At 46.2% G+C, this 27974-nt stretch overlaps 1 long non-coding RNA gene across 1 annotated transcript in view, besides 1 other annotated feature; it reads right to left on the bottom strand.

Moving 5' to 3' along the window:
* LOC105378771 (uncharacterized) overlaps positions 1-20150 on the bottom strand; it is a 59685-nt gene extending 39535 nt beyond the window's left edge. Inside the window, exon 1 of the long non-coding RNA XR_947457.3 lies at positions 18667-20150. This is a non-coding gene — a long non-coding RNA (uncharacterized LOC105378771). The remainder of the gene's footprint in view (positions 1-18666) is intronic.
* Positions 13051-13552: an enhancer, noted in NCBI's record as "H3K27ac hESC enhancer chr1:64140637-64141138 (GRCh37/hg19 assembly coordinates)". NCBI's record gives its function as "activates a minimal SCP1, AML or CMV promoter by ChIP-STARR-seq in primed H9 embryonic stem cells {active_cell/tissue: H9 hESC(primed)}" and the evidence as "EXISTENCE:reporter gene assay evidence [ECO:0000049][PMID:30033119]".

Raw genomic sequence — 27974 nt, 5'->3', positions numbered from 1 at the left:
ATTTTTGAGTTTCACAAAAACTCAGCAGAGATTAGCCTGGGCCAGCAAGTGTGTGCTTCATTCCATTCCCACTGACGGTCGCCATCTCCCTCGGTGGGAGCAGAACCAGTTTACATCTTGCCAATTTAATCCCATGATGTCTCGGTCCCCTGTGTAACTCAGCATCCTGGCTGGCCACTGCCTGGCTGTCCCTGTATTCACCTTCACCTGCCCTCTTGGTGCTATCTGGGCTGCCTTCCCTTCAGCATTAAGAGACCCTGATAGACAAGAGCTTTGGGGCTCCACAGCCAGATGCCAAGCTGAGCCTTGCACATGACTCAGACTTAGGACATGACTTCTGCAACCGCCTGCGTCCCCACCTGACCCTCAACCCTTCCCCAGACCCTGGGTGGGAGAATAAGAGTCTTGATAGAGAAATCCCCAAGACATGAGCAGCCTTGCTGGGGACTAGGAGCAAGCAGGCATGCGGGACCCCTGGACGGTTCGGGGCCTCCAGAACTTCCTGCAGAGCTTCCTCACTCCTTTTTCTCATGGCAGCTGAAGGAAGTGAGTGAAACGCTGAATCCAATTTGAACTGACAACTACTTAGAGGGCATCTCCTATATCCCTAGCGCCATATGGATCCCCATGCAGGGAGAAAGATGTTTCAGATTCATAACATGTAGTCTATGCATTTGAGGAATTCATAGGCTTCTTATTAGAGAAATGATTTAAACACATTAAATGATTAATTAACAACCTGAATCTGAGTCAGTTGCAGTACAGACCACTGGGTCAGTTTTTTGGAGATGGAAGGAGCGACACGGAGACAGAAAAAATAACTTTTATTAAACATCTACTTCCTGCCATGTATTTAACGTTCAACTGCTCATTGAATCTTCCAATCACCTTTAAGACAGATATTATCATAATTACTATTCTAATTATTATTATTATTTCCATTTAACAAATGAGGAAACTAGAGACAGAATAAAACAATTTGGTTACACAGCCATTGAAGGGGCAGAGCTGGGATTTTAAGCCAAATCTGTCAAATTCTAATTCTTGTGGATTTTTTTTTTCTCACTGCAGCCTTGACCTCCTGGGCTCAAGCGATCCTCCCACCTTAGCCTCCCCAGTAGCTAGGACCACAGGCACATGCCACCACACCCAGCTGATTTTTTTTTTTTTTTTTTTGTAAAGACAGGGTCTCACTATATTGCTCAGGTGAGTCTCAAATTCCTGAGCTCAAGGATTCCTCCCTCCCACCTCAGCCTCCCAAAGTGCCTCACACAGATGTGAGCCACCACAGCCAGCCTTGTGGTCCTAATATTACATCAAATCCAGATTTGGACTGAAATTATTTGATTTAATGTAGGGAGAGAAAATTTCAGTGCGGATGAGGAATCTGAATGGCACGTGAGAGCTGGTAATATTTGGACAGACAGAGGAGGAGGGATGCTGTTCTGAGTGTGAGAAATAATATGAAAGGCAATGTGTCATGGAAATGGATGTGTGATGTCTGGCACCTAGAATAGGACCTGGTGCAGGGAAGATTGTAGGATGGATGGATGGACAGATGGGTGGATGGGTGGATAGATGGATGAAGAAGTGGATGGAAGAAGGGATGGATGGATGGATGAATGGATGGAAGGATGGATGGTGAATGGATGAATGGATGGGGGATGGATGGATGGAGGGTGGGTGGGTAAGCGGATAGATAGATGTGTGTATAATATGATGAGTGGACCAGTGCATGGGTGAGTGGGTGGATGGTTGGATGGATGGATGGTTGGATGGACAGATGGACAAATAGATGAATGGATGGATGGATGGATGGATGAAGGAGTAGGTGAATGGATGGAGGGATGGATGTATAAATGAAGGAATGAATGATACATATATATGGCATAATGGTCACTTATAAAACATAAGTACAAAAATAGTAGTGATTTTTGGCTGGGCACGGTGGCTCACACCTGTATTCCCAGCACTTTGGGAGGCCGAGGTGGGTGGATCACCTGAGGTCAGGAGTTCAAGACCAGCCTGGGCAACATGGCGAAACCCCATCTCTACTAAAAATACAAAATTAACCGGGTGTGGTGGTGTGCACCTGCAGTCCCAGCTACTCGAGAGGCTGAGACAGGAGAATTGCTTGAACCCAGGAGGCAGAGGTTTCAGTGAGCCAAGATCATGCCACTGCACTCCAGTCTGGGTGACAGAGCAAGACTCTGTCTCAAAAAATAAAGAAAGAAAGAAGGAAAGAAAGAAAGAAAGAAAGAAAGAAAGAAAGAAAGAAAGAAAGAAAGAAAGAAAGAAAGAAAGAAAGAAAGAAAGAAAAAGTAGTGATTTTTAAAAAGTATATCAAAATCTTAACTTGAAAACCAATGTTGTCCCTCAAATGTGTCATCTCCAAGAGTCTATGGATATTTTGCCAGGAGGATTTTGAAACTTTGTTTTAAATTTGTACTTTGGGCCTGGCTGAGGCAGGAGAATCGCTTGAACCTGGGAGGCAGAGGTTGCAGTGAGCCGAGATCGCACCACTGCACTCCAGTTGGGGCGACAGAGCGAGATCTGTCTAAAATTTAAAAAAAAATTTTTTTTTTTACTTTCCCATTTTGGAGCTGTGAGATTTTGGGGAATTTTCTTAACCTCTCTGGGCCTAGGTTTCTTCATCGATATATTGGGGATAATGCTTCACAACATTCTTCGGAGGAGAACCAATGCTTGTAAAGCTCTTAACACAGTGCCTAACACTCAATAATGATAGGTAAACTTTACATATAAATAAATACTGTGGAGCAGATTAATTCGAGGCCTTTTTGTGGCCAAGAGCCTACCTAACAAGCATGACCTATCATTTGTTAAAACCATTTTCAGGGAGACAGAAGTAGTCTAGACTAAAGTGTGCTAATTAAGACTCGGAACCACCCCGATTCTAAAATCCAAAAGATAGTTCAGCAGTGCAAGGACTTCAATTCAGGGACTTTGAAGATAGAGTCATGTTGAAATCTAAATGCACCCATTGTTTACTTACACAGCAAATAAGAGTGGATTGCATCTCTCCATGTGGACCCCTCAGGCTGCAGTCATTGCAGCTAGACTGTGGCCACAGCAAGAAGAAGTCATGACAGACTTTAACCAGGGCACAGGAAGAGGCCATAGGGCAGATCCAGGCTTGCAGAGCTTATAAGAGATGGGAGATCTGGCCAGGCGTGGTGGCTGACACCTGTAATCCCAGCACTTTGGGAGGCTGAGGTGGGTGGATCACAAGGTCAGGAGTTCAAGACCAGCCTGGCCAATATGGTGAAACCCTGTCTCTACTAAAAATACAAAAATTAGCCAGGCGTGGTGGCAGGCGTCTGTAGTCCCAGCTACTTGGGAGGCTGAGGCAGGAGAATTGCCTGGACCTGAGACGCAGAAGTTGCAGTGAGCCGAGATCATGCCACTGCACTCCAGCCTGGGCAACAGAGCAAGAGTCTGTCTCAAAAAAAAAAAAAAAAGAAGAAAAGAAAGAAGTGGGAGACGGAGACCTGGCTGGGCACAGTGGCTCACACCTGTAATCCCAACACTTTGGGAGGCCAAGGCGGGCAGATCACCTGAGGTCAGGAGTTCAAGACCACCCTGACCAACATGGAGAAATCCTGTCTCTACTAAAAATACAAAAATTAGCCAGGCGTGGTGGCGCATGCCTGTTATCCCAGCTACTTGGGAGACTGAGGCAGGAGAATCACTTGAACCCGGGAGGCAGAGGTTGCAGTGAGCTGAGATTGCGCCATTGCACTCCAGCCTGGGTAACAAGAGCGAATCTCCATTTCCAAAAATAAAAAAGGGAGACCTTCACTGAGGAAAACAAGAAACAATATTATGATTGCACATTTTACCAAAGCATATAACCACATGAGCACATTGCTAGGGTGCTTCCCAGTGGGGCCTTGCATGGGGTCAGAGCAAAGGCAGGATCCTGAAGCTTAGGCTTCACTAGCCTCATGATACATCCACCTCTGGTCCTAAGAAGCAGCCCCTGCCTCGAAATAGGACTGTTTTGCCTTCAATAAACACAATCTGATCTTGCATATAGACCTACGGAACCTCAGCACCTAAATATACTGCAGAAAGTATCTATCTAGCTCACTCATTTTATATGCAGGGAGAATGAGAAGTGAAGTGTTTCGGTCAAGGTCATACAGACTGGAATAATTAGAGCCTAACAGGCAAATGAATTCCATGGGAAAGAAGGTACCTTGGAAACTTTAAGCATGTAAACCTAAATTATCCTTTTGTAAATCGATATTATCCATACAAATAAAAATCTATTTTAAAAAAGGAACAGCATAACAAAAACATATTAATCTATAGACTATACAAGCAGTTGAGAATAGCTTTTAATAATATTTTCCAAGTATATGGCAAAGAACACTTCTTAAATTGCTTTGAAACTGTCTACCACAATTGAATCATTCACGCATCCAAAAACTATTAAGCATTATCTTATCCCCTGAAAGCAGAGCCCAGGACAAAGATTTGGATGCAGGTAGTTTACTTGGGAGGTGAGCCAGAAAACAGAAAGGAGGGGGCAGGGAGAGGAAGACAGAGAAGGAGGAACAGCCAACAGGAGAGTATGAGCTAGTTACTACTATGAGCAACTACGGTTCACTTCTGCGGGAGCCCCCATGAGAAATTGTGTAGCATACACCTTGGGTAGTTCCTCTGTAAGACTGGAGGCTTTTTATCCATAAACTCCCACCTCTCATTTGTTGAAGATTATCCTAGGGGCATGAACTCTCTAGCTCTTCTGGACTGTGCCTTTTTCTTTTTGCTTTTCCTTGCCTTGCCTCTTCAAAATCCCCAAGAAAGGTTTAGGAGCCAGGCGTGGTGGCTCACACCTGTAATTCCAACACTTTGGGAGGCCAAGGCGGGAGGATCACTTGAGGTCAGGAGTTCGAGACCAGCTTGGCCATGGCGAAACCCTATCTCTACTAAAATTATAAAAATTAGCCAGGCGTGGTGGCATGCACCTGTAATCCCAGCTACTTGGGAGGCTGAGGCAGGAGAATCGCTTGAACCCAGGAGAAGGAGGTTGCAGTGAGCCGAGATCACACCACTGCACTCCAGCCTGGGCAACAGAGTGAGACTCCAGAGTGAGACTCTGTCAAGAAAAGAAAGAAAAAGAAAAAAAAAAAAAGCTTAGGGAGCAGGAAGCATAGAACCGCCTACTACAGCTGTAGCTGAAATCAGAGGTGGGCTTCGGGGCTGTGGCATGGGCCCTCAGGAATGCTTGCTGCAAATATCAACCATGTACCAGGAGTCAATGTCTGTCTAATCCTCTATTTTTAAACCAGGCTGATCCACCTGCATAGTCCAAAGAGCCATGAATATACATCTCAAAGCCACACGGCAGTCATTCAACAAATGCCTGTCAGGCACTCACCATGGCTCCGGTATTGTTTTAGAAACTGAATAGAGAATGGTGAACAAGGCAGACCTTATATCTCTCTTGAACTGTATACTCTTGTGAGGCGGAGAAAATAAATAAAGAAATGAACACACAAAAACACAGACAACTTGTTTGCTAGTAGTAGATACCACTCATGCTGACAATTGCACTGTCGGCATGTAACTGAGGAAGCAGCTGCTTCAGGATGGCTGGTCAGGGAAAACTTCTTTGAGGAGGTGGCATTTGCAGCGATCTGAAGGACATGGGGCCATCATGAGAATATTGACAGGGGGCAGGGGACGAAGGGGATTCTGCAAAAAGGAAGCAGCTAGTGCAGAGTCCGTCAAAAAGCAGCTTGAGGTGGAAGCGGTGGCTCACGCCTATAATCCCAGCACTTTGAGAGGCCAATGTGAGCAGAGCACTTGAGCTCAGGAGTTCAAGACCAGCCTGGGCAACACGGTGAAACCCCATCTCTACTGAAAATACAACAGTAGCTGAATGTGGTGGCGCACGCCTGTAATTCCAGCCACTCAGGAGGCTGAGGCATGAGAATCATTTGAACTGGGGAGGTGGAGGTTGAAGTGAGCCGAGATGGTGCCACTGCACTCCATCCTGGGTGACAGAGTGAGACCTTGTCTCAATAAAAAGAAGCTCAAAGTGTGTGAGGAACCCATGACAGGCCAGGGTAGCCAGGGCGCCAGGCGAGGAGGTTGAAAAGGTCGTCAGGGTGAGATCATGCAATGTTTATGAGCTGGGGCTAGATGTTTGGTTTTTATTCTAAGTGTGTTGTGAAGTCATTAGAAGGTTTTAAAAGGAGGGTGGTATGCTGTGGTTTTGTTTGTAAGAGTTCATTTTGGCTGCTGTGTGGAGAATGGGGGTGAGGCAGGAGTGGAAGCTGTGGATTACCCATTGCTGTAATCTGGGTGCCTTGAATTGTGTGGCACCAGCAGAGAAAAGTGGAGAGTTTCAGAGCATATTTCTGAGGTCAAGTTGATGGCACTCTCAGGCACACTGAACTGAAAGAACTGAAGGATAGCTCCTAGATTTTTGGCCTGAGCATCTGGATGCCTGGGGATTATTTGTTGAGATAGGAAAAACTACATATATTGGTCTGGGTTCTCCAGAGAAACAGAACACATACACACATACACACACACACACACACACACACACATACACACACACACACACACACACACCAGAGAGAGAGAGAGAGAGAGAGAGAGTAAGGAATTGGCTCATGTGATTATGAAGGCTGAGAAGTCTGAGATCTGCAGGTGGCAACTAGAGACTAAGGCGAGCTGATGGTAGAGTTCCAGTCCAAGTCTGAAAGCCTGAGAACCAGAAGAGCCCATGGGGTAAGTTCCAGTCCAAGTCTGAAGGTAAGAGAGGATTGATGTTGCAGCTCAAAGACAGTCAGATATATAGAGAGAATTATTTCTACTCAGCCTCTTATTCTATTCAGGCCTCGACTGAATAAAGTCCATTCACCTTAGGGAAGACAATCAACTTTCCTCAATCCACAAACACAAATGTTCATCTCACCCAGAAACACCCTCCCAGACACACCCAGAGATAATGCTTCACCAAATATTGGGGCACCTTCTGGACCAGCTAAGTTGACACATAAAATTAACCATCACACCAGGGAAAGAATAAGATGACTATGATCATGCAGGGGATCAAGATTTCTGTTTGAGCCCCATGAATTTGAGGTGCCTAAAAGACATCCAAAAAAGTGACAAATGGACAGTGGGATATAGAAGCTTCAAGTTCTGGGATGAGCCCATGGCTGGAGATCTAAATTAGGAATTTACTGATTTAGAGATGGCTTTGAAGCCACAGAACTGGATGATGCCACCTAGTTAGAGGACAGCAAGTGTCCATGGCAGAATCCTGGCACACTCCAAGATACTCCATGTATATTCATTTGCTAGGGCTGCCATAACAAAGCATGAAAAACTGGATGGCTTAGGACAACAGAAGCTTATTGTCCCACAGTTCTGGAGGCCAGAAGTATGAGATTAAGGTGTCAGCAGGGTTGGTTCCTTCCGAGGCTGTGAGGGAGAATCTGTTGCATGCCCCTCTCCTAGCTCCTGGGGGTTGGCTGGCAACCTTCGGTATTCCTTGAATTATAGATGCAGCACCTCAATCTCCACTTTCATGTCCATGTATTGTTCTTGTGTGTATGTCTGTCCCTTGTGTCCAAATCTCCCCTTTTTAGAAGGACACCAGTCATATTGGATTGGGACCACTCTGATGACCTCATTTTAACTCTACTTCTCTGAAGATTCCATTTCCAAATTAGGTCACATTCTGAGGTACTGGAGGTTAGCACTTCAAAATCTTCTTTGTGGAGGATATAATTCATCCCACAATGCCATGCTAATTCTGCTGCCTCTTCTCTCTGCTCTGGACTTACAACCATTTCATTCCATTTCTGTCCAGATCCTGACCCCACATGCTCCTGTTCAGGGTGCCCGTAGAGATATTAGGTTGGTGCAAAAGTAATTGCAGCCTTTGCAATTACTTTTAATTGCAAAAACCACAATTATGAAAAATGCAATTACTTTTGCACTAATATAATAGTTCTGCAGTTTGATCTTTGGATAATTCCAAGAACTCTGGCTCAGCCCTTGTTCTAGTGGTTTGTACTACTGGTCATTGTGGTAAGAGTTCTGTGCCCAACTCTGACTTCTGGGACCCAAAACTTAACATCAACTCACCTGGGCTTCACAAGTTCCCATGAGAAGGGCATGACACCCAAGCACCAAACATACTTAATTTGTTAGAGAATTAGCAACCTACTCAAGGTGAGAAAACACAGTCATCCATAATGAATAAGACAAAGTTTGAGTGGATGGTTTAATTGTCTCCTGAGATAATGAAGAAATAAGAAACATTTAGACAAAATGGGTAAAGCTGTTGTCTTATTCTATTTGTGTTGCTATAAAGGTATATCTGAGACTGGGTAATTTATTTTTTTTAAAGAGGTATATTTGGCTCTCAGTTCTGCAGGCTGTACAGGAAGCATGGTGTCAGCATTTGCTTCTGGTGAGGACTTCAGGCTGCTTCCACTCATGGTGGAAGATCAAGGATAGCCAGTGTGTGCAGAGATCACATGGTGAGAGGAGAAGCAAAAAGAGAAGGGAGGTGGCAGCCTCTTTTTTAGCAACCAGATTTCTCAGGAACTAACAGACTGAGAACTCACTCATCACCGTGAGAACAGCATCAGCCTGTCATGAGGGATCTGCCCCCATGACCCAAATACCTTCCATTAGGTCCCACTTCCAACACTGGGGACCGAATTTCATTGTGAGGCTTGGAGGGGTCATAGCAGCAAGACTTTAGGAAGAGTGCTGAGGGGTACAGAAGAAGGAAACCTGGATGGCGTCACAGATGTGAGTTCTCATGCTTGCTCTGCCACTAACCTTGATCATATCAAGGGTGTCCTTGGTACAATCCACTTTCTCTTTTTGATCCACTCTTGCCTCATCTTTGAAATGCAAATGCCCTCCCAGTTCTAGCCATCTATGATGATAAGGTGGCCCTGGAAGCTTCAGCCTTATGTGACAGGATTGGATGCTGGTAGAGAGGTTGAAAGCAGAGAATCTGCTGGGAGATCTGAAATGGGATGGGCCTGAAGGCGGGCAAGGGCAGTGGAAGTTGGAAGGACTCCTTATGCCCACAGGTGTCCATGTAGATGCTATAGGAAGGCACAGACAAAAAAGCAAGATTTGAGCTCTCTTCTTGAGGGGCTATCAGATCCCTTTGTTCTAGGCTGGGAAATAGGAGCATCTCTTCCTGGACACTGAACATCTTGTGGTTTCCCTGACTCACTGTCTTCTTAATTCCCAGTATTTAATAAGCTCCTCCCTCTGCCTGGAACTCTTTTTCCACTTCTCTTAACAGTTCTGGCGGTGCCAGGTAAAATCCAGGACACTCAGTTAAATTTAAATAATGGAATTATTTTTAGCATTATTTGGGACTTCCTTATGTTAAAAAAATTATTTGTTGTTTATCTGAAATTCAAGTATAACTGGGCATTCTGTATCTTTATTTGAAAAATTTGGCAACCCTATTTTATTTTATTTTATTTACTTTTAAATTTTATTTATTTATTTAATTTGAGACAGAGACTCACTTGCTCTGTTGCCCAGGGTGGAGTGCTGTGGTGCAATCTCGGCTCACTGCAACCTCCCTCTCCCGAGTTCAAGCCATTCTGCCTCAGCCTCCCGAGTAGCAGGGATTACAGGTGTGCACCACCATGCCTGGCTAATTTTTGTATTTTTAGTAGTGATGGGTTTTCGCCATGTTGGCCAGGCTGGTCTTGAACTCCTGGCCTCAAGCGACCCGTCCACCTCTTGCCTCCCAAAGTGCTGGGATTACAGGAGCGAGCCACTGTGCCTGGCCTGCAACTTTATTTTAAACTTGTCAACTCCTGCTTTTACCCTAGACCCTGCCAGGTATCACTGCCTCCATATCTTCCCTGACAGCCCTATTTCCCCTTCCCCAAGGCTGGATTAGATGCCCCTTTTCTGTGCTTCCACAGCCATCTGTATGCACCTCTTTCATTTAACTATAATTGTATTTTCTTTCCCTCACCAGACTGAGGCTCCTTAAGGGCAGAGACTATGTCCCGTTCACCACTGCATTCCCCAGCTGGTATATAAATATTTGATGAAGGGAGGAGGGAAGAAAGGCAGGCAGGCAGGCAGGCAGGCAGGCAGGCAGGCAGGCAGGCAGGCAGGCAGGCAGGCAGTTAATTTCTTTGAGAAAGGATTACCTAGAAAAAAGGGTAATCTTTGTCCAGTGAAAAAAGGGTAATCCACTGGCATCCTTGTCCAGTGACCAGCATGCCCTCCACATGATCCCAAATACAGCAGTGAACATACAGTAGCCATTCAAGAATTGCTTGTTACTTTATCCTGCCAGTTAAGATAATTAGAATGCCTAGGTCTCCATGTGAGACCATGAGTTAAAATTCTTTGCAACCAGGTCCAGGAGCAGGCCAGGTTTTGCTCTGGGGGCAAAACCAAAGAGAAGTGTCCTAAATCTCCTTAACAAGAGAGGCCTGAAGTGGTGTGTCAGCAGAGGGGGCCTCTGGAACTAAGAGAGTCAGAAAGTCAGGAAGAGAACAATGGAGGGGGGCTGCATATGAGTGCAGGGGAGCTGATCTGAATGGATACTGGAGACTACTCGCAATGGGGCATACAGGAGTTACTGGCACTACAAGAGCTAGATGAGTTGGAAGCATTAAAGGTACTACTTTATGACCAGAGTCAAGCCTTGTTCCCAGCAACACTGAAGCACCACGACACAGGGAAGGTCCATTCTTCACCTATGGTTTCTCTCTACTCCATTAGTGTTCTTGTCCTCCTCCTATCAGATCCCCTTTGTTCCCTGCTACAGCCCTGTTGTCAAGGAAGGAAACTGTCTGCTGCCCTCCTTCACATAAAGGGTAGGGCCTCGTGCAATCATTTGCCTGCTAGCTCTTAGATCCACTCGCCACCCTTCTCCTGCCCTATGCTGAGTCTCATGGGCTGTCTGGGCAAACACTTCTCAGGCTCCTTATCCACAGGATGCTGGCTGAGTTCAGCTAATCAGAGACACTGGAGGGACATGGAGAGCAAGAGCTGGGAAGGCTGGGTGCGGTGGCTCACACCTGTAATCCCATCACTTTGGGAGGCCAAGGCAGGAGGATCACTTGAGGTCAGGAGTTCGAGACCAGCCTGGCCAACATGGTGAAACCCAGTCTCTACTAAAAAACACAAAAATTAGCTGGGCGTGGTGGCACACACCTGCAGTCCCAGCCACCTGGGAGGCTGAGGCAGGAGAATCATTTGAACCGGGGAGGCGGAGGTTGCAGTGAGCTGAGATCGTGCTGGGGAGAAGGGGTAGTAGGTGTGGCAGATGGTGGGGGTACTGGATCTGACCCAGAATGATAAGATAACCAGAAAGATAAGAACTCAGTTCTGAGGCAGCAGGTATAAAATAAAGGTGAAAACAATAGTTTACAGAGCTAACTCTTCTTAGTGAGGAATTACCAAAAACCTAGAAGTGGGCCAGTGCCCTAGTAAAATATGGCATTCTATTCTTTATGCCATGTTTTGTTTAGTTGTGATTCTGGGGCTGTTTGGGCAAAAGAGAAACTGGTCCTTCCTTTCTAATTTAGTTTTCCAAATGTACAGCACTTGTGTTGATGTCACTCAAAAATTGGGCGGCTTAATGATGCTTGTCTCCTGAGTGAGATAACCAGTCTACTGAGCTTAGTTTGGTTATACTCTAGTCTAGAGCCCAGTGTCTCTGACACGCAAATCACCTGGGAATTTAATGGGTCCGGGGTGCGACCTGAGATTCTGTATTCCTAGCAAGCTCCCAGGTGATGCTGCCGTGCTGATCTGAGCACAGTACTTGAAGTAGCAAGGCTATAGTGCAGACATGGGGCTTTCTAGGTGTGCCTTGAAAACATAAGTGGACGAAATAATATGGGGAAACAGTGGATAGGACTATGTTCATTGGGCGTCTTTACTTTGAGGACCTCTTAAGACTTGTTGCCTGCTCACATGTCTTGTGACTCCAGGAGGAACAATTACATGTAGTGGTTCCCAAATTTATTTAACCACAGGATCTTTGTTCCCATGTATCTGTATCTCAAAGACTAGGATTTTTTAAAAGTAACCTCCGGAAATGTTTTTCTGAGAACCCAACCCTTATGCCTTGCTCTCACCCCAAGACTGCAGGGAAAATGTTTAACAATGGGAAAAAGCAGGATACTGTGTTCTTGGCTTCAGAGCTGGACTCTTCCTCCAGGCGAAGACTTAAGTTAGAGAGATTAACAGCTCCGAAAACTACAGGGTGTGTATACCATAGCGGTTGGAGTAACACAAACCTAGGTTTGAATCCTTGCTTCACAACTTACTATGTGACCTTGAATCAATCATCTTCTCTGAACATTGATTTCCTAATCCATAAAATGGGGATACTAGTATATATCTTGTAGAATTATGGTGAGAAATAAATAAGCTGAATGCATGTAGAGGACTCAGTGTGTTGCCTAATACATAGGAAATGCCCGGTGGAGGCTCTAATTATTACGATGATGCAAAAATGTCACAACATCTCATATGCACCCCATTTTTTACTCCCGTTTTGTATTTCAGGAGAGAGGGAGAAGGGGATGGGGAGAGAAAGAGAGAAAGTGCATTCTGGCTTGGAAGGGAACTTATGCTTTGAAGCTGACAAGTATAATTTGTCTTGAGACTGCCAAGCTCTTGGGTTGAGCCTTCATATTGGAAAAAAGAGACAGGCGAGATTAATCTGGGGCCTTCATTACTTACTCCATCTGGCCTGGCTTGGCACAGCCCCTTCCCTCTACAAACTGATTACTCCTTCAAAAGCTTCAGCAGAGTGGTCCCTAATGGGTTCCGACGTGGCAGGAATGGGGCTCACACAGCACAGAGATAAGGGCCCAGCAGCAGGGCCAAAACGCTTCCAGTGCTACAGCCCAGATGCTCCACCACAAAAGAAAGCAACGAACTGAAAGGGAGCCAAGGCCCCTGGGCCAGGGTGAACCTCAGGATTCCCAGGAGCACCTGGCTCCCCACAGTGGGGAGCAGCAGGAGCCGGGCTGACATGGACCGGACTGGTAACGTGGATTATTTGACTGGGGCGAGTTCCAATGACCATGGGCGCTTTTTAATCTGGCTTTACAGTCACACTGGGGATAGGAAGGTGCTCCAGGGAAGAGAAGAAGGTTGTTGTTTTTAGACATTTGCTAGTGAAATCCTGCTGCGGAGGCTTTCTCACATTCCCTCCCCCAGCTCCTTCAGCAGCGCAGTGTGGGAGGGGGAGAGGGAAGGGAACCGATGTTTACTAAGCACCCACTATGCTCCAGGCACAGTGCCAGGTGCACAGTGCCAGGCACTGTTTGATTAATCATTCAGCACAAGCCTGAGAAATAGGTATTACTATTCTTTTTATTGAGAAAAGGTAAGGGCTTTGTCCTAAGTCACACGGTAAGTGACAGAGCCAGGATCTGAACAGGATGGTCTACCTGTGGGTCCGTGTTGGTGGTTGTGCTAGTCTGCACTCACAGCAAGTAGCAGCTGTGGGATTTGAGAGAAAGTATGAATAGGGAGAATCTTCCAAAGCACCAGGAGGTAGCAACTCTGTGGCCTGGGTCTTCTCTCCTAAGAGATTGTAAAATTTAAAAGCTGCAAAGGAGCCTTTGAGCCACTCTTGGAAAGAGAGTTCTTGAACAGAACACCAAACCAGATCCATCATTCGAGTTGGGGAGGAGGGTTGTTTATCTTGGATTGGGGGACTGCCAGTCTCTGGAACAAAGGCTCTGCTTCTCAGCTGCTTTGAACACACAGCTCCTTTAAAAACCTGGCCCTGGGACTTGGCGTCCACGGCTTGAGAGGTCAAGGTCCAGCTCGATAGCTTCCAGGGTCTCAGGGAAGTCAGTGTGGGAGCCTTGATGAGTCAGAGACTGCACAACACTGCCATCTCCTGGGAGCAAGGTCCACTCTGGCCTGGTCAGACAGAATCCCAGCTCAAAATACCTGACTAAATCATGCATGAGGCTCTCTACCACCCCAGGGAACCTTCTGTGGTCACGTTATGAATCAGGATTGCCTGTGTTTGTGTATTAGATTACAAAGCCTGTGGAGATCGAAGGCATGGGTTTCCAAGTCAAACATTCAATCGTTCATTTTTTTTTCATTTGACAAATGTTTACTGAGCACCTATTTTGTGCCAAGCACTGTGCTAGGCACTGAGTACATAAGGATGATCAACATAAATGGTCGTGGCCAGGCGTGGTCTCTCATGCTGCTAATCCCAGCACTTTGGGAGACTGAGGCAGGAGGATCACTTGAGCCCAGGAGTTCAAGACCAGCCTGAGAAACATAGTGAGACCCTATCTCTACAAAAAATAAAACTAGCCAGATGTGGTAGTGCACACCTGCAGTCCCAGCTACTCAGGAGGCTGAGGCAGGAGGATTGCTTGAGCCCAGGAGGTGGAGGTTGCAGTGAGTCATGATTGTACCACTGAACTCCAGCCTGAACAACAGAATGAGACTGTCTCAAAAGAAATAAAAATTTTAAAAAGACAAATGGTCCTTAACTTCATGAAGCGTATAGTCCAGTGGTGAAGATGGACTGTAAATAAGGAATTATCTCGTGAACAAAGAATGTATTCGTTACTACTGCAATGAGTGCTGAGAAGGAAAAGCATTGGTGCTGCAGGAGTTTATATTGGAGAGGAGGATTGTAGGGGGACCCTGGCCTAGTCAGGCAGTCAGGGAAGCCTTTTCTAAAGACATGACCTACATGCAGACAGCTGAAGGATGTATAGGAATTAGCTAAGAACAACATGTGAGGAGGCCATGAGATAAGAAGGAGCCTGGCCTGCTTGAAGAACTAAAAGAACGCCGGGCACGGTGGCTCACGCCTGTAATCCCAGCACTTTGGGAGGCCGAGGCGGGTGGATCACGAGGTCAGAAGTTCAAGACCAGCCTGGCCAAGATGGTGAAACCCTGTCTCTACTAAAAATACAAAAATTATCTGGACATGATGGCGGGCACCTGTAATCCCAGCTACTTGGGAGGCTGAGGCAGAGAATTGCTTGAACCCGGGAGGCAGAGGTTGCAGTGAGCTGAGATCACGCCACTGCACTCCAGCCTGGGTGACAGAGTGAGACTCCATCTAAAAAAAAAAAACAAAACAAAACTAAAAGAAGTTCTCCATTGATGGATCCCTGGGAGGAGGAAAACAGTAGTGTGAGGTGAGGAGATCACACAGGGCCTTGACTTCGAGCGTCAAGTGAAGGATGTGGCTCCACACTGGTCAAGTCTCTTTTTGTTACATGGAACTCATTTAAGTAAAAAGGCAATGTGCTGGTTCCTGTAGTTGAAGTTCCAGATATGGCTGAATCCAAGAGCCCAGGGTTTTCGTGGCGGGGCACAGTGGCTCACACCTGTAATCCCAGTGATATAGGAGTTAAGAAGAAATTATTTAGGCAGATAGTGAGGGTAAGGAAGTTCTCGGCAAGGTTTTCCTTTTAACGAAAAGCAGCCCCCAAATCATTTTCTTTTCTAACAAAGAGCAGCTTGTAAAATTGAGCTGCAGACATAGATAAGCAAGCTGGAAGACTGCAAGGGTGAATACCGGCAGTTGTGCCAATGGGAAAAGGCTACCTGGGACTAGGCATGTTCAAACTGTAGCCTTCATGTTCCCTTTTTGCCAGCCATGTTTACAGTAAGAAGCAGACAACATGGCGCCGGCCAAGTGGAAAGGCCATTTGCATAATAAGATGAGGATGGGGTGGCCAGCCTTCCCCCTTGCTATGTAAACGTCACGCCTGGACCAACTAATCTGTGAGCCTTACATAAATCAGATACCACCTCCTCAAGCCGGTCTATAAAATCTGGTGCACTCTGCCACAGGCCGGAATTCCCATTTGGGCCCCATCTCTCTCACAAGCCAGAGAGCTGTTCTCCTTTCTCTTGCCTATTAAACCTCCACTCCTAAACTCACTCCTTGCGTGTGTCCGTGTCCTTAATTGTCTTGGCACGAGACAATGAACCTCAGCTATTTACCCCAGACAACAACGATGGTTCACCAGCACTTTGGGGAGCCAAGGCGGGCAGATCACCTGAGGTCAGGAGTTCAAGACCAGCCTGGCAAACAAGGTGAACTCTCGTCTCTACTAAAAAAAAAAAAAAAAAAAAAAAAACAAAATTAGGTGGGTGTGGTGGCACACGCCTATAATCCTAGCTACTATGGAGGCTGAGGCAGGAGAATCGCTTGAACCCGGGAGGCGGAGATGACAGTAAGCCAAGATCACACCATTGCACTCCAGCCTGGGCGACAAAAGCAAAATTCTGCCTCAAAAAAAAAAAAAGATTTTATTTTCCAGCCAGATGTGGTGGCATGCGCCTGTGGTCCCAAGTACTCAGGAGTCTGAGGCAGGAAGATCACTTGAGCCCAGGAGTTTGAGGCTGCAGTGGGCTATGATGGTGCCTGGGTGACAAAGTGAGACCCCATCTTCTAAAAAAAAGGAAAAAATTTAAAAAGACTTTCTTTTCCACTAATTTATTATCTCTGCTTGTTTCTGAATTTATTAGTTTACCTCATTCTCTCCTGCACTGACAGGATCTGTCAATCTGGTAGGAAAAAAGAGTCACTGATACTCATCAGGCCTATATCCTTGTAACCTATGATTCAAAAAGAAGGTTATCCCTTTACCTTCCATTTGGAAAAAACATAATGGAAAGGCTCTGATTGGTCCATCTTGGTTCACATGCCTACTCACTGGCCCAATCACTATGTCCACAGGGATGTGGTCCAATGATTAGTCTACCCTGGGCCAAGTTCCTGCCCCTGTAGCAGGAATGGGGGTGGAAGGGAAAGGAAGGAAGGCACTGTGACTGACAGCCCTGGGGCCACATGGAATCTGAGAGGAGTTTCGCCCCAGGAACAGAGTGCTGATTATAGAAGAGAAATGAGGAAGATTGTGGGATATCCAAAAACACTGACAAAACAATATTATAATGAACAAAAAGCTATAAGAAACTATTGAAAAGTTGCAAGTGAAAAACGAGAAAAAATTTTTTTTATTGTTTTTTAAGATGACACTGGCTATTGTGAGGGTGGAATGGAGGGGCATGAGTGGAAGCAAAAGGACTTCAGATTCTGGGCACACTGAAACACCTCCCAGCTATCTATGAGTTACCCGGAAATACTCCATACACCACAGCAAAGGCCCTTGTAAATGCACAATAAAATTTGCAAGAAAGTATGAGAAATCCTCATGTGCCAAAGATAAGGTGGAAACAGGAAAACAAGGTTGAGTGAGAAGCTAAAGCTGTAGCTCCCTTAGAAAGTTCTTAGGTAAGTAGGGTGCGGTGGCTCACACCTGTAATCCCAGCACTTTGGGAAGCCGAGGTGGCCGGATCACCTGAGGTCAGGAGTTCAAGACCAGCCTGACCAACTTGGAGAAACCCCTGTCTCTACTAAAAATATGAAAATTAGCCAGGTGTGGTGGTGCATGCCCATAATCCCAGGTACTTGGGAGGCTGAGGCAAGAGAATCACTTGAACCCGGGAGGCAGAGGCTGCAGTGAGCCAAGATCACGCCATTGCACTCCAGCCTGGGCAACAAGAGTGAAACTCGGTCTCAAAAAAAAAAAAAAGAAAAGAAAAGAAAGTTCTTAGGTAACCAAGAGATTTGGATTTTAAGTCACATGGGGGAACAAGACAAGGTCTTGGGCCTAAATGAGATGGGTATTAGATCTGACATCCTTTCTCTCCACTACCCAAACCCCACCTAGAGCTGAGCACCTCAGCAAATGATGAAATGATGGACCGGGGGGAAAATGTACCCATCACCATGGAGAGATCATTTGTGTCTTGGCCTGGGCTCTGGGTAGAACAAAGCCATCTCTTTTGGGACTTTCTAAACATGAATATGTTCATGGGTTTGGGGTTAAACTTCATTCCACTTGCATGGTCCTATAATCCCTAAGCTGATAAATTAGCTTTAAAAAGGGTTCCAGGCTAGCTATACCCTTGAGGCATCTGTGAGAAACACACAACTTCTCCGGAGAAAGACCCTCCGCCTAGGATGCACAAGCACCCACAGAAAATGCTCTCTGAGCGCATGCCCACAATTCCAAGCTGGTGTCTTTAGCCAGTCCTTCACTTTTAGCTGGCCGCCAGCCATCTGGGCATTCCTGGCCCCCTCCCAGCCTGTTTCCGACCCTCCTAGTTTCTGTCCTCATCATTCCTCTTCCTGCCTGTGGCCTGAATTTAGCCAGCCAGAGACCTCATATTTGTCTCACTGTCTGGCTCAGACCTCCTGCCTCCCTCTTAACCTAGTTTGGGGTCCCCTTTGGTTATGAGGCTTTGGCTGCCCCCACTAACAATATTTCTCCACCACTTAGGCCCAGCCTGGCCTTGGGATTCTACATCCTGGTATAACCCCACATCCAGGAATGACCTCACATCCAGGCATGACCCCACATGGATGATGGTCCTCTCTGTTTGCCCTGGCTCGGCTTACTAGACCCAGAGGGAACAGACAAATTAGAAGCATGTTCTGGGTTGGTCTTCATTACAGTCTGTGGCGACTTACAGAGGTGACGCGGCCGAGCACAGCCTGAGCTTCTCCTGACACCAGAACCCCTTCAAGTCAGGCAAGTGTTAGGCCGCCGGTGTGGGAAGCCACTCCTGACCTCCACCCACCTGAATCAAGGAGTGCATTCTCTGACCATGTTCCAGGAACCCGAATTCCTTCTCGCACCATGGCCGGTGGCGGTGAGGCTGGCAACACTGAATGCTGGCACTGAGTTCTGAGGTGGAAATCAAATAACTATCTGACTTAGAAAAACAGATCCAACACAGCAGTCTTTGTAAGAAAAGAAAGGCCCTGAGTGGGCCAGAAACACTGGGCTGGCAGCTCCGCCCTGCCCTGCAGTCAGGAGGAAGCAGCTGCTTGCCTACCTGAGAGATTAAGGCAGGGCCTTGACAGCCACTGCCAGGGCAGGATTCTCTGCCTGGACCCTGACAGGCCAGGTGAAGCCAGGCACCTTTCCCCGGCAGGCCCTGGGGGCATTGAAGGAGGGCGGCAACGAACCCTAAGAGTTCACATCTGGGGGTGTGCTTTGCTAATGGCAGAGATAGAAAGGTTGGCTCGGGCCCTGGGCTGCGTGCCCTGAACAGATGCCTTCATCCCTCTATTCCCACAGCTCTCAATGCACAGAGACCTCTATCCCAAGGCCTGATGCAGGGAATTCCCATTATTGGTTTAATTACCTTTCTTCTTGCCTAATCTGTGGCTCTGATGTAGCAGTGTCTGGCACATTGTAGGGGCTCAATAAATAGCTATGAATGCATCATAGACTTCCATTTTCTTACTGTAGATAGAGGAGATGAAACCCTGTCTCTAAAAGACATTCATTTGCATACAGTTTAGCAGTGCCAGGGACAAGGGTTCAAAATCTGGCTCCGCCACTCACTAGCTGGGACTTGCAGCAAGTTATTGAACCTTTCTGTGTTTCCCATCTGTAAAATGGGGATATTATAGTCCTCATCTCATAAAGGTATAGTGAGGTCACCTTTGCAAAGCACTTAGTTTAGGGGCATTTGCCTTGTGTTAAAATAAGAGCTCCACAGACACAAAAGACCATGTATCACACAGTTCCAATGAGACGAAATGCTTAGAATAGGAAAATCCTGTTGGGATACTGTATTTTCCAAAAGTGGCTACACTAGCCCCCATCTCACGTACTGTTCTGCAATATGAACTTGCCACGCTTCCATCAAGAGGTAGAGGGTAATTCCCCTCCCCTTGAATCTGGGCGGGCTGAGTGAGTTGATGGTAATCAGTTGGATATGGCTGAAGTGATGCTGCATGACTTCCAAAGGAAAGAAAGGAAAATACAGCAGCCACTGGACCCTCTTGGCATACTTGCTCTTGGGATACTCTCTTGGAAGCCAGCACCAAGCTGTGAGAAACCCAAACAACAAGGAGAGGTCATGTGCAGGTGTGAGATTTGACAATCCCAGCTGACCCAAGACATTGAGTCATACTAGACACGAGTGAAGAAGCCTCCAGATGACTCTAGTACTAGCTATTTGAATCATTCCCAGCTGTTTCAGTGTTTACAGGTGCTATGGTCTGAATGTGTGTCCCCCTGAATTTCATATGTTGAAATCCTGGCCTAGCGTGGTGGTTCATGCCTATAGTCCCAGCACTTTGGGAGGCCAAGGCAGGTGGATCACCTGAGGTCAGGAGTTCGAGACCAGCCTGGCCAACATGGTGAAACTCCATCTCTACTAAAAATACAAAAATTAGCCAGGTGTGGTGGCACACGCCTGTAATCCCAGCTACTCAGGAGGCTGAGGCAGGAGAACTGCTTGAACTTGGGAGGCAGAGGTTGCAGTGAGCCAAGATCGTGCCACTGCACTCCAACCTGGGTAACAAGAGCAAAACTCCATCTCAAAAAAAACAAAAGAAAAAAGAAATCCTAAGCCCCAAGGTGGTGGTATTAGGACCTGGAGCCTATTGGGAGGTGATAAGGTTATGAAGGCAGACCCTTCATGAATGGGACGAGTGCTCTTATAAAAGAGGCCCAAGAAAGACCCCTCACACCTTCCACCATGTCAGGACACAGCAAGACAGCACTACCAAAGCCAGAGAATGGGTCCTCACAAGACCAAATCTGCCTTGATCTCACATTTCCCAGTTCCATAACTGTGAGAAATAAATTTCTGTTGTGTCAGTTACCTAGTTTTTGATGTTTTGTTATAGCAGACAGGCAGGCTAAGATAGGAAATTGGTACTGAGAAGTGGGGGTGCTACTGTAACAATTACCTGAGATATGGCAGTGGCTTTGGAACTGCGTAATCAACAGAAACTGAAAGAATTCTGAGTTGCATGCTAGAAAATACTTACATTGCCATGTATTAACTACAAAAGGCAATTCTGGTAAGGGCTTAGAAAAGGAGGAGAGCTGGGCCAGGACAGTGGCTCATGCCTATAATCCCAGCACTTTGGGAGGCCGAGGCAGGTGGATCACCTGAGGTTGGGAGTTCGAGACCAGCCTGACCAACGTGGAGAAACCCTGTCTCTACTAAAAATACAAAATTAACCGGGTGTGGTGGCACATGCCTATAATCCCAGCTACTCAGAAGGCTGAGGCAGAAGAATCACTTGAACCTGGGAGGCAGAGGTTGTAGTGAGCCAAGATCGCATCATTGCACTCCAGCCTGGGCAACAAGAGCAAAACTCCTCTCTCTCTCTTAAAAAAAAAAAGAGTAGAGCTGTAGAGAGAGCTTCAGTCTTCTTAAGGAATAGCTATATGGATGTGAGCAGAACATTGGTAGAAATGAAACTGCCTCCACAAAATTATAACTGAGACAGTGAAAGAGATCTAACCTAACCAACTCTTATCTTGCTTCTAACCTTTAAGCTGTCCTTGTTCCTTCCTGGGCATAGGCTGAACTAACTTTGGGAGGAACTTAGTTTATAGTTACAATTTTAAACAAAGATGACAACAGCCCTTTCCCAAAACAAACCTCCTTGCCTGGGGACTAGACTGCCTTTGTAGGACTAACAAATTAGCCACAAGATTAGAAATCATGTTAAGGAGTCATGCAGTTGGAGGATACAAGATTCTGACCTTCCCTAAACTGCTCCTAAGATCAGTGCTTGAGATATATTGCAGACCCTCCACTTGATGGATCAGCTGGCACCACCCAGATCGATAAACTGGCTTATCTGATCTTGTGGCCCCCACCCAGGAGCTGACTCAGCGCAAGAGGAGAGCCTCAGTTCCCTATGATTTCATCTCTTACTTGACCAATCAGCACTCCTGGCTCACTGGCTTCTCCCACTCACCAAGTTGTCCTTAAAAATTCTGATCCCCAAATGCTTGGGGAGACTGATTTGAGTAATAATAAAACTCTGATCTCCCACACAGAGAGCTCTGTAAGAAATTACTCTTTCTCTATTGCAATTCCTCTGTCTTGAGAAATTGGCTCTGTCTAGGCAGTGGCAAACTGAACCCATTGGGCAGTTACAGAAACATGGACAGTGAAGACCATTCTAATAAGATTTCAGATAGAAATGAAGAACATGTTATGGGACAGTGGAGGAAAGACCATGCTTCTTATAAAGTGGCAAGGAAGTTGGCTGAATTATGTTCATATTCTAGTGTTTTGTAGAAGGTCATGCTTGTGAGCAATGAAATTGGATATTTGACTGAAGAAATTCCAAGCAATGTATAAAATGTGCTGTTTGGCTTCTCTTGAGTGCTTATAGTGAAATGTGCGAAGACAGAAACGATTTAAAGTTAATGAAACTGTTAACCAAAAGGGAACCAGAGCCTAAAAATTTCGAAAATTCTCAGCCTATCCATATTAGAAAAAATCAGAAAGCTTGTTTGAGAGAGAACATGAAGGGTGTGGCCAAGTTTGATAAGGAAGTTAGTTCAGAGGGGCCATCTCAATCAAAGCTAGAAGCTATTCATCCAGACAATGGGGAGATTAGACTCCCGTCTAAACAGAAGCCAGGACCTATTGTGCAAGACAATGGAATAACCCCGAAGGCATTTTGGAGATCATCAAGGCTGCCCCCTCACTTCACAGGTCCAGACTGCAAGGGACTGGGGGAACAGAACAATTTCAAGGCTCTGCTCTTTGCCAAGCTCTTTGGCTGCCCCAAGTTCAGCTCTAGTGAATTCAAGTGCATAGTGGTACTCTGTAGCTGCTCCTCCTCCAGAGGGCACAGAGAGTAAACTTTGGGAGTGTCCACAAGATGCCACCTTCACCAGCACATAGAGTATACAAGCCAAGGAGGCATTATTCCCTCCATCAAGATTTCAAAGGATGGAACTACCCAGAGCCTCAGGTGTGTGACCCAGGCAGAGGGCTGCCAAGAGGGCTGGGCCACTGCAGAGTCCCTACTAGGTCAATGTCTAGTAGAGCTGCTGTCAGACCAGTAGAACCGCCTATATGTGATTCCAGCCTGGGAGAACTGTAGGCACTTGACTAAAACCCACGAGAGCTGTAGCATGGGCTGTACCCAGCAAAGCCACGGAAGTAGGGCCATCTGGAGCCTGAGGTCCCAATCCCTGCCCCAGCATGTCCAGCAGGTTGGATGGCAAACCAAAGATTATTCTCAGTCTTAAGATTTAACATTGTTGGCCAGGTTAGGTTTCAGACCTGGGTCCTGAGACCTGTTACCCCTCTTCTTTCCTGTATCTCCCTTTTACAATGGGAATGTCTATACTATGCCTATCCTACCACTGTATTTTGAAAACACATAACATGTTTGATTTCATAGGTTTACAGCTGGAGAGTAAATTTGCCCCAGGATGAGTTGCACCTTAAGCCTCACCCATATCTGATTTAGCTGATATTTAGAAAAGACTCTGGACTTCAGACTTTTGAGTTGATGACAGAATAAATTAAGACTTTTGAGGCTAATGGGTTGGAATGAGTATATTATGCATGTAAGAAGAACATGAAATTTGGGGACCCAGGACCAAAGCCTACGGTCTGAATGTTTGTGTCCTCCCAAGATTCATGTTGAAATCTAAATCCCCAAGGTGATGGCAGTGGGTGATGGGCCTCTGGAAGGTGATTAGGTCATGAGGGTGGGGCCCTCATGAAGGAGATTAGTGTCTTTATAAAAGAGGCCTGAGAGAGACCTGTTGCCCCGTCCACCATGGGAGGACACAGCAAGAAGGCACCATGTATGAGCTAGAAAGTGGGCCCCTACCAGACACTGAATCTGCTGGTGCCTTGATCTTGGACTTCCCAGCCTTCAGCACTGTAAGAAATTTCTATTGTTTACAAAACCACCAGCTTACAGTATTTTGTTATAGCAGCCCAAACAGACAAAGATACCAGATAAGGCCTCAGACATTGTGGAGCAGAGACAAGCTTGTATCTCCACTGTGCCCTGACTGGCTTCTTGACCCGCAGAGTCTGTGAGCATCATAAAATCATGCAAAAGTTTAATACCATTAGATTTTGGGGTACTTTGTTATACAGCAAAGGTTGAACAGAAAAAAAAAAAAATCCAAACATCCAAGGGTGATTGGAGGTGGCTGGTCTGCTTTCTCCTTCATCATTAGTGGGACTCTGCACAAATCACATAAACTCTCACAACTTCCATTGCTTTATCTGGGATAATAATAGCACTCCTACCATCATGTAAAAATGAAGTCAGAAACCAATGAAGATGAAGCTTTTATGAAATGACACCGTCATGAGAAGCAAAGAGATTGCTACTCGTAACTAGCCTTTCTGTTAATTGGAGAGCTGCACTCAATAAGACATGCTTTCTGGAAAATAGTTATTAACCCACACCCACAATGACAACTTACTGGATGGAGGTGGAGCTTTCATATTTGGTGAAAACCAAACCAAAGCCCTCCACGGTTTCCATAGGACGATCAGACAGACATGAGACATGCTCCCGCCAGTGACCTCACTTGTTTTGGATAATGACACACTTGTGGGAATGCTTCTTGTTCTGATAATGGGAACTGAGAAGAGCCTCTCAGACTTCCAGAAATAGATGCTCAGAGGAGGATCCCCATGCCAGCATGACGCCCAGTGCCAGGGTACCCACTTTACCCATCATGGGTTCCTTTCCGTGAATCTGCTCAGAGGGGGGCTTTGGGGATTGAGGCTGGTTTTATTGATTCTGTTCCTTAAAGCACTCATTTCTGTATTCAGTAGAACTCTTCCCCAACTATACCTCCCAATTAATTTTGTAGCAGTGGGAGATAAAATGTGTTTTATCATTTAAATTAAACATTTTCTTCAAAGTGACCATGACACATAACTCCCATCTATTGCCAGTACCCTCCTGCCCGCCTCTCCTGGGTGCTTTCTCACTTGCAGCCTCTAACACTTTTTGAAAGAGTTCTTGGTTAACCAGTGACTAGCATGGAAGTTGCTCAAATCACTTGTCACCTGTAAAATTGAGACAATCCTGCCTTATAGGTCAGGGAGATTCCAGCATAATGAAACATTCTGCCGTGCAACTAGTAGATTTCATTCACTCATTCTGAAAATATTTAATGGGGCTTTTGCTATGTGCCAGACACAGGCCTAGATCCTGGGTAAACACTGGTGAAAAAGGCAGTCTCTGCCATGTAGGAGTTCCCAGGGCAGTAGAAGAAATGGAAAGTAAACAGGTTATGAACATAGAATGGGATAAGCGCCTCGAAGGGGGAAATAGAGGTGATAGGAACACCAGAAAAAGCTCCCAAACCAGACACTGGAGGCTCAGAAAGCACTTCTTGGAGGAAACGATGTTTAAATTGAGACCTGAGGAACAAGTAGGAGTTGGGAGAATATGGCGGATGGTGGAATGGAGGGGAAAGGTGGAGAATGTAGTGGAGGGTGGGATGGAGGGTAAAGGTGATTCAGGTGGAAAGAAGAGCAGCTTCCAAGGCCTGGGGGCAGGAGGGAGGTGCCATGGTTCCCCAAGACTGAAGCTTGGAATGTAAGGCTGTGAGTAGGGGGAGAGGAGCGGGAAGTGACAGGCAGGTGAGTCACACGGACCTGGAGGCTACACAAAGGCCTCTGCACTTCAACATTTGAAAGAGTACTTAGCTGGTGGTGTGGAGAATGGATCAGAAGGGGCAAGTGGGAAGGCCAGAAGGCCATGGGGTGCCCCCGCCAAAGCCCACAGGCCATGCAGTGAGTCCTGCATGAAGGCTGTTATACTCATATCCAACCCCCTCTGCTGGGGGGGTTCAGAACGCAGAAACACAAGGGGGGCACCTCTTACTCATGGTAATATGTTTTCTGGAGAATTCTTATAAGCAAGGCCAGCTTCTAATGAGTCAACAAGAAACGTTGAAGAAAGCAGCATGGCAGAGGAGGCAGAGGGACCCTGTCCTCAAGCCTGGCCTTGAAGGGCCAAGGAGATGACACTCCCCAGAACCACAGTGAGCTTGGCCTCTGCTTTCACTCCCTATGAGGCAGAGCCCAGCCACTGGAAGCCTGGCCACTGTGTAGGCCTGGGGCACATCGCTGAACAGGAAACTGCTTCTCTGAGAGAATAGCTGAATGTCAAGAGGGAGAGAAAAAGTGAAATTTCAGAATTGGGCCCCAAACAGTTCCAACCCAATTTTCTCACTGTAATTCTCACCACACCCCAAAGAAAACAAGCCTGACTCACAGACCACATCAACGCTGGAAGGCGGGGAAGCCTGGCTGGGTGCTGCTGCCCGCCTCTCAGGACTCCTCTCCCGCACTCCCTGGGGCACACACACTGCGGCATCTCTTTGGAAGCCCTGGAGAGACACAGTGATCCTTACTACCCACACCCACCTCCACTGCCCCATGGCTCCAGCCACCTCCTTCTTCCTCCCCTGAGCTTTTAACTTCCAAGCTGTTGCCAAGTGGAGGCAGGAAAAGCAGTTGAAATACGATCAGGGAGGAGGAAATTTTTGAAGCCATTCCAGGGGCCACAGAACTGGGAGTATCCGCAGCTGATTCAAGAGATGAGGAGGCAGAAAAGGGTCAGGAAACATGAACGATACTTAGGGTCAGAATTCCAGTTCCATCACACGGTAGCTGAGAACCTGGGGCAAATTAATGAGCTTCTGTTGAGCTTCAGTTGCCTCAACTGGAAAGCGAGAAGAATGATGTCTTGCTTCGAGGGTTACTGGAAAGCATCTAGCCCAACATCTGAGATAGAATAGGTGCTTGGAGAATATGTAGGTTTTACCTACACAACTCATAACATTTATCCCATACAGTTTCTACTTGTGCTAGATTCGATTCCCCTGGCAAGTCTTACAGGCAGCTTGATGGCATGGGCTCTGTGTTATACAGCTCTTCCTCCCAAGCACCTCACACTTAATGTGGATCAATACATATTTCCGGGCTGACTGATACATCCAGATATCCAGATCTCTGCAGGAGCTAATATAATGCCAAAATAACAGATTCTTTGGCATCCAGAGCACACAGTATCCCCCTTTAATGCGTAAAGCACAGGGGCATTTGCACACCTTTCTTCCACGTTAGGTGTAGCCTAGAAGTAGACAGTCCGTAGAAGAAATCTGAAGTGGTTTGAACCCTGTAGGGCTGGAGCTGCACTGTCTGGGAGCATCTACCACTCCCCAGCAGTGTGATCTTGGTTGAGTAACTGAACCTCATCTGTAAAATGGGAATATTCAGAGTACCTACCTCAGAGTTGTCAGGAAGATTTAAAGAATATATGGAAAGCGCTCAGAAAGAATATATGGAAAGTGCCTGGCAAGGGGTTAACGTTCCAGACAAACTCATCACCACCACCACCATCATTGTCATCATTGTCAAAGCATAGTTTTGTTTGCTGAGCTGGCAACAATGGAAATCTTACCCCAGATAAAGATCCTGCCACCTGTATCAGGGAGTCCATACTGAGTAGGGGAGGGGTACAGAGCTGGGCTGACTTTTTAGAATAGCCCATATGGCAAGGTGACTTTGTGAAAGTACCTTGGAAATGTAAAATGTGTTACAAATATTAGTGTTACAGTTTTTGTTTTTCCTGTATATACAGTACTTTAAAATCTAAAAATGGTATCATAAACATAATTCTAGTTTTCACTTATTTAACAATGTACCATGCACTAGATACTGTGCTCACTGCTTTACACAAATGTACTCACTTAAGGTACTCAACAATTCATAAAGGTAGAACTACTTTCATCCCCACTTTAAGGATAGGGTAATGATATTCAAAAGTCACTCAGGGTCTCAAGTGGGATTCAAACTTGGGTCTGTTGGCTCTCAAGTCTACGCTTATTTAACTATAATATACTCATGGATGGAATATAAGTGTTCTGAGCTGAATAAGATGCCAGTGGGCTCAGATTTTTGGCCAAATGTCAGTAACCCTGCTCTCAGATTCTGAGGGTTCTGCCTCCATCCCTTCAATAAGCGTCAAGGCATCTCCGCACTGCAGAGCACGTACCAGTGCTTTGCTATTTAAGCACTAGGAAGAGGAAAATCACTCTTCCTTTCCCTTGTTCCAA

The sequence above is a fragment of the Homo sapiens genome, chromosome 1 (assembly GCF_000001405.40).
Source record: "Homo sapiens chromosome 1, GRCh38.p14 Primary Assembly".
Lineage (NCBI taxonomy): Eukaryota > Metazoa > Chordata > Mammalia > Primates > Hominidae > Homo > Homo sapiens.
Note: the sequence above shows the minus strand (reverse complement) of the source record. Positions and strands in the feature narration are given on the sequence as shown.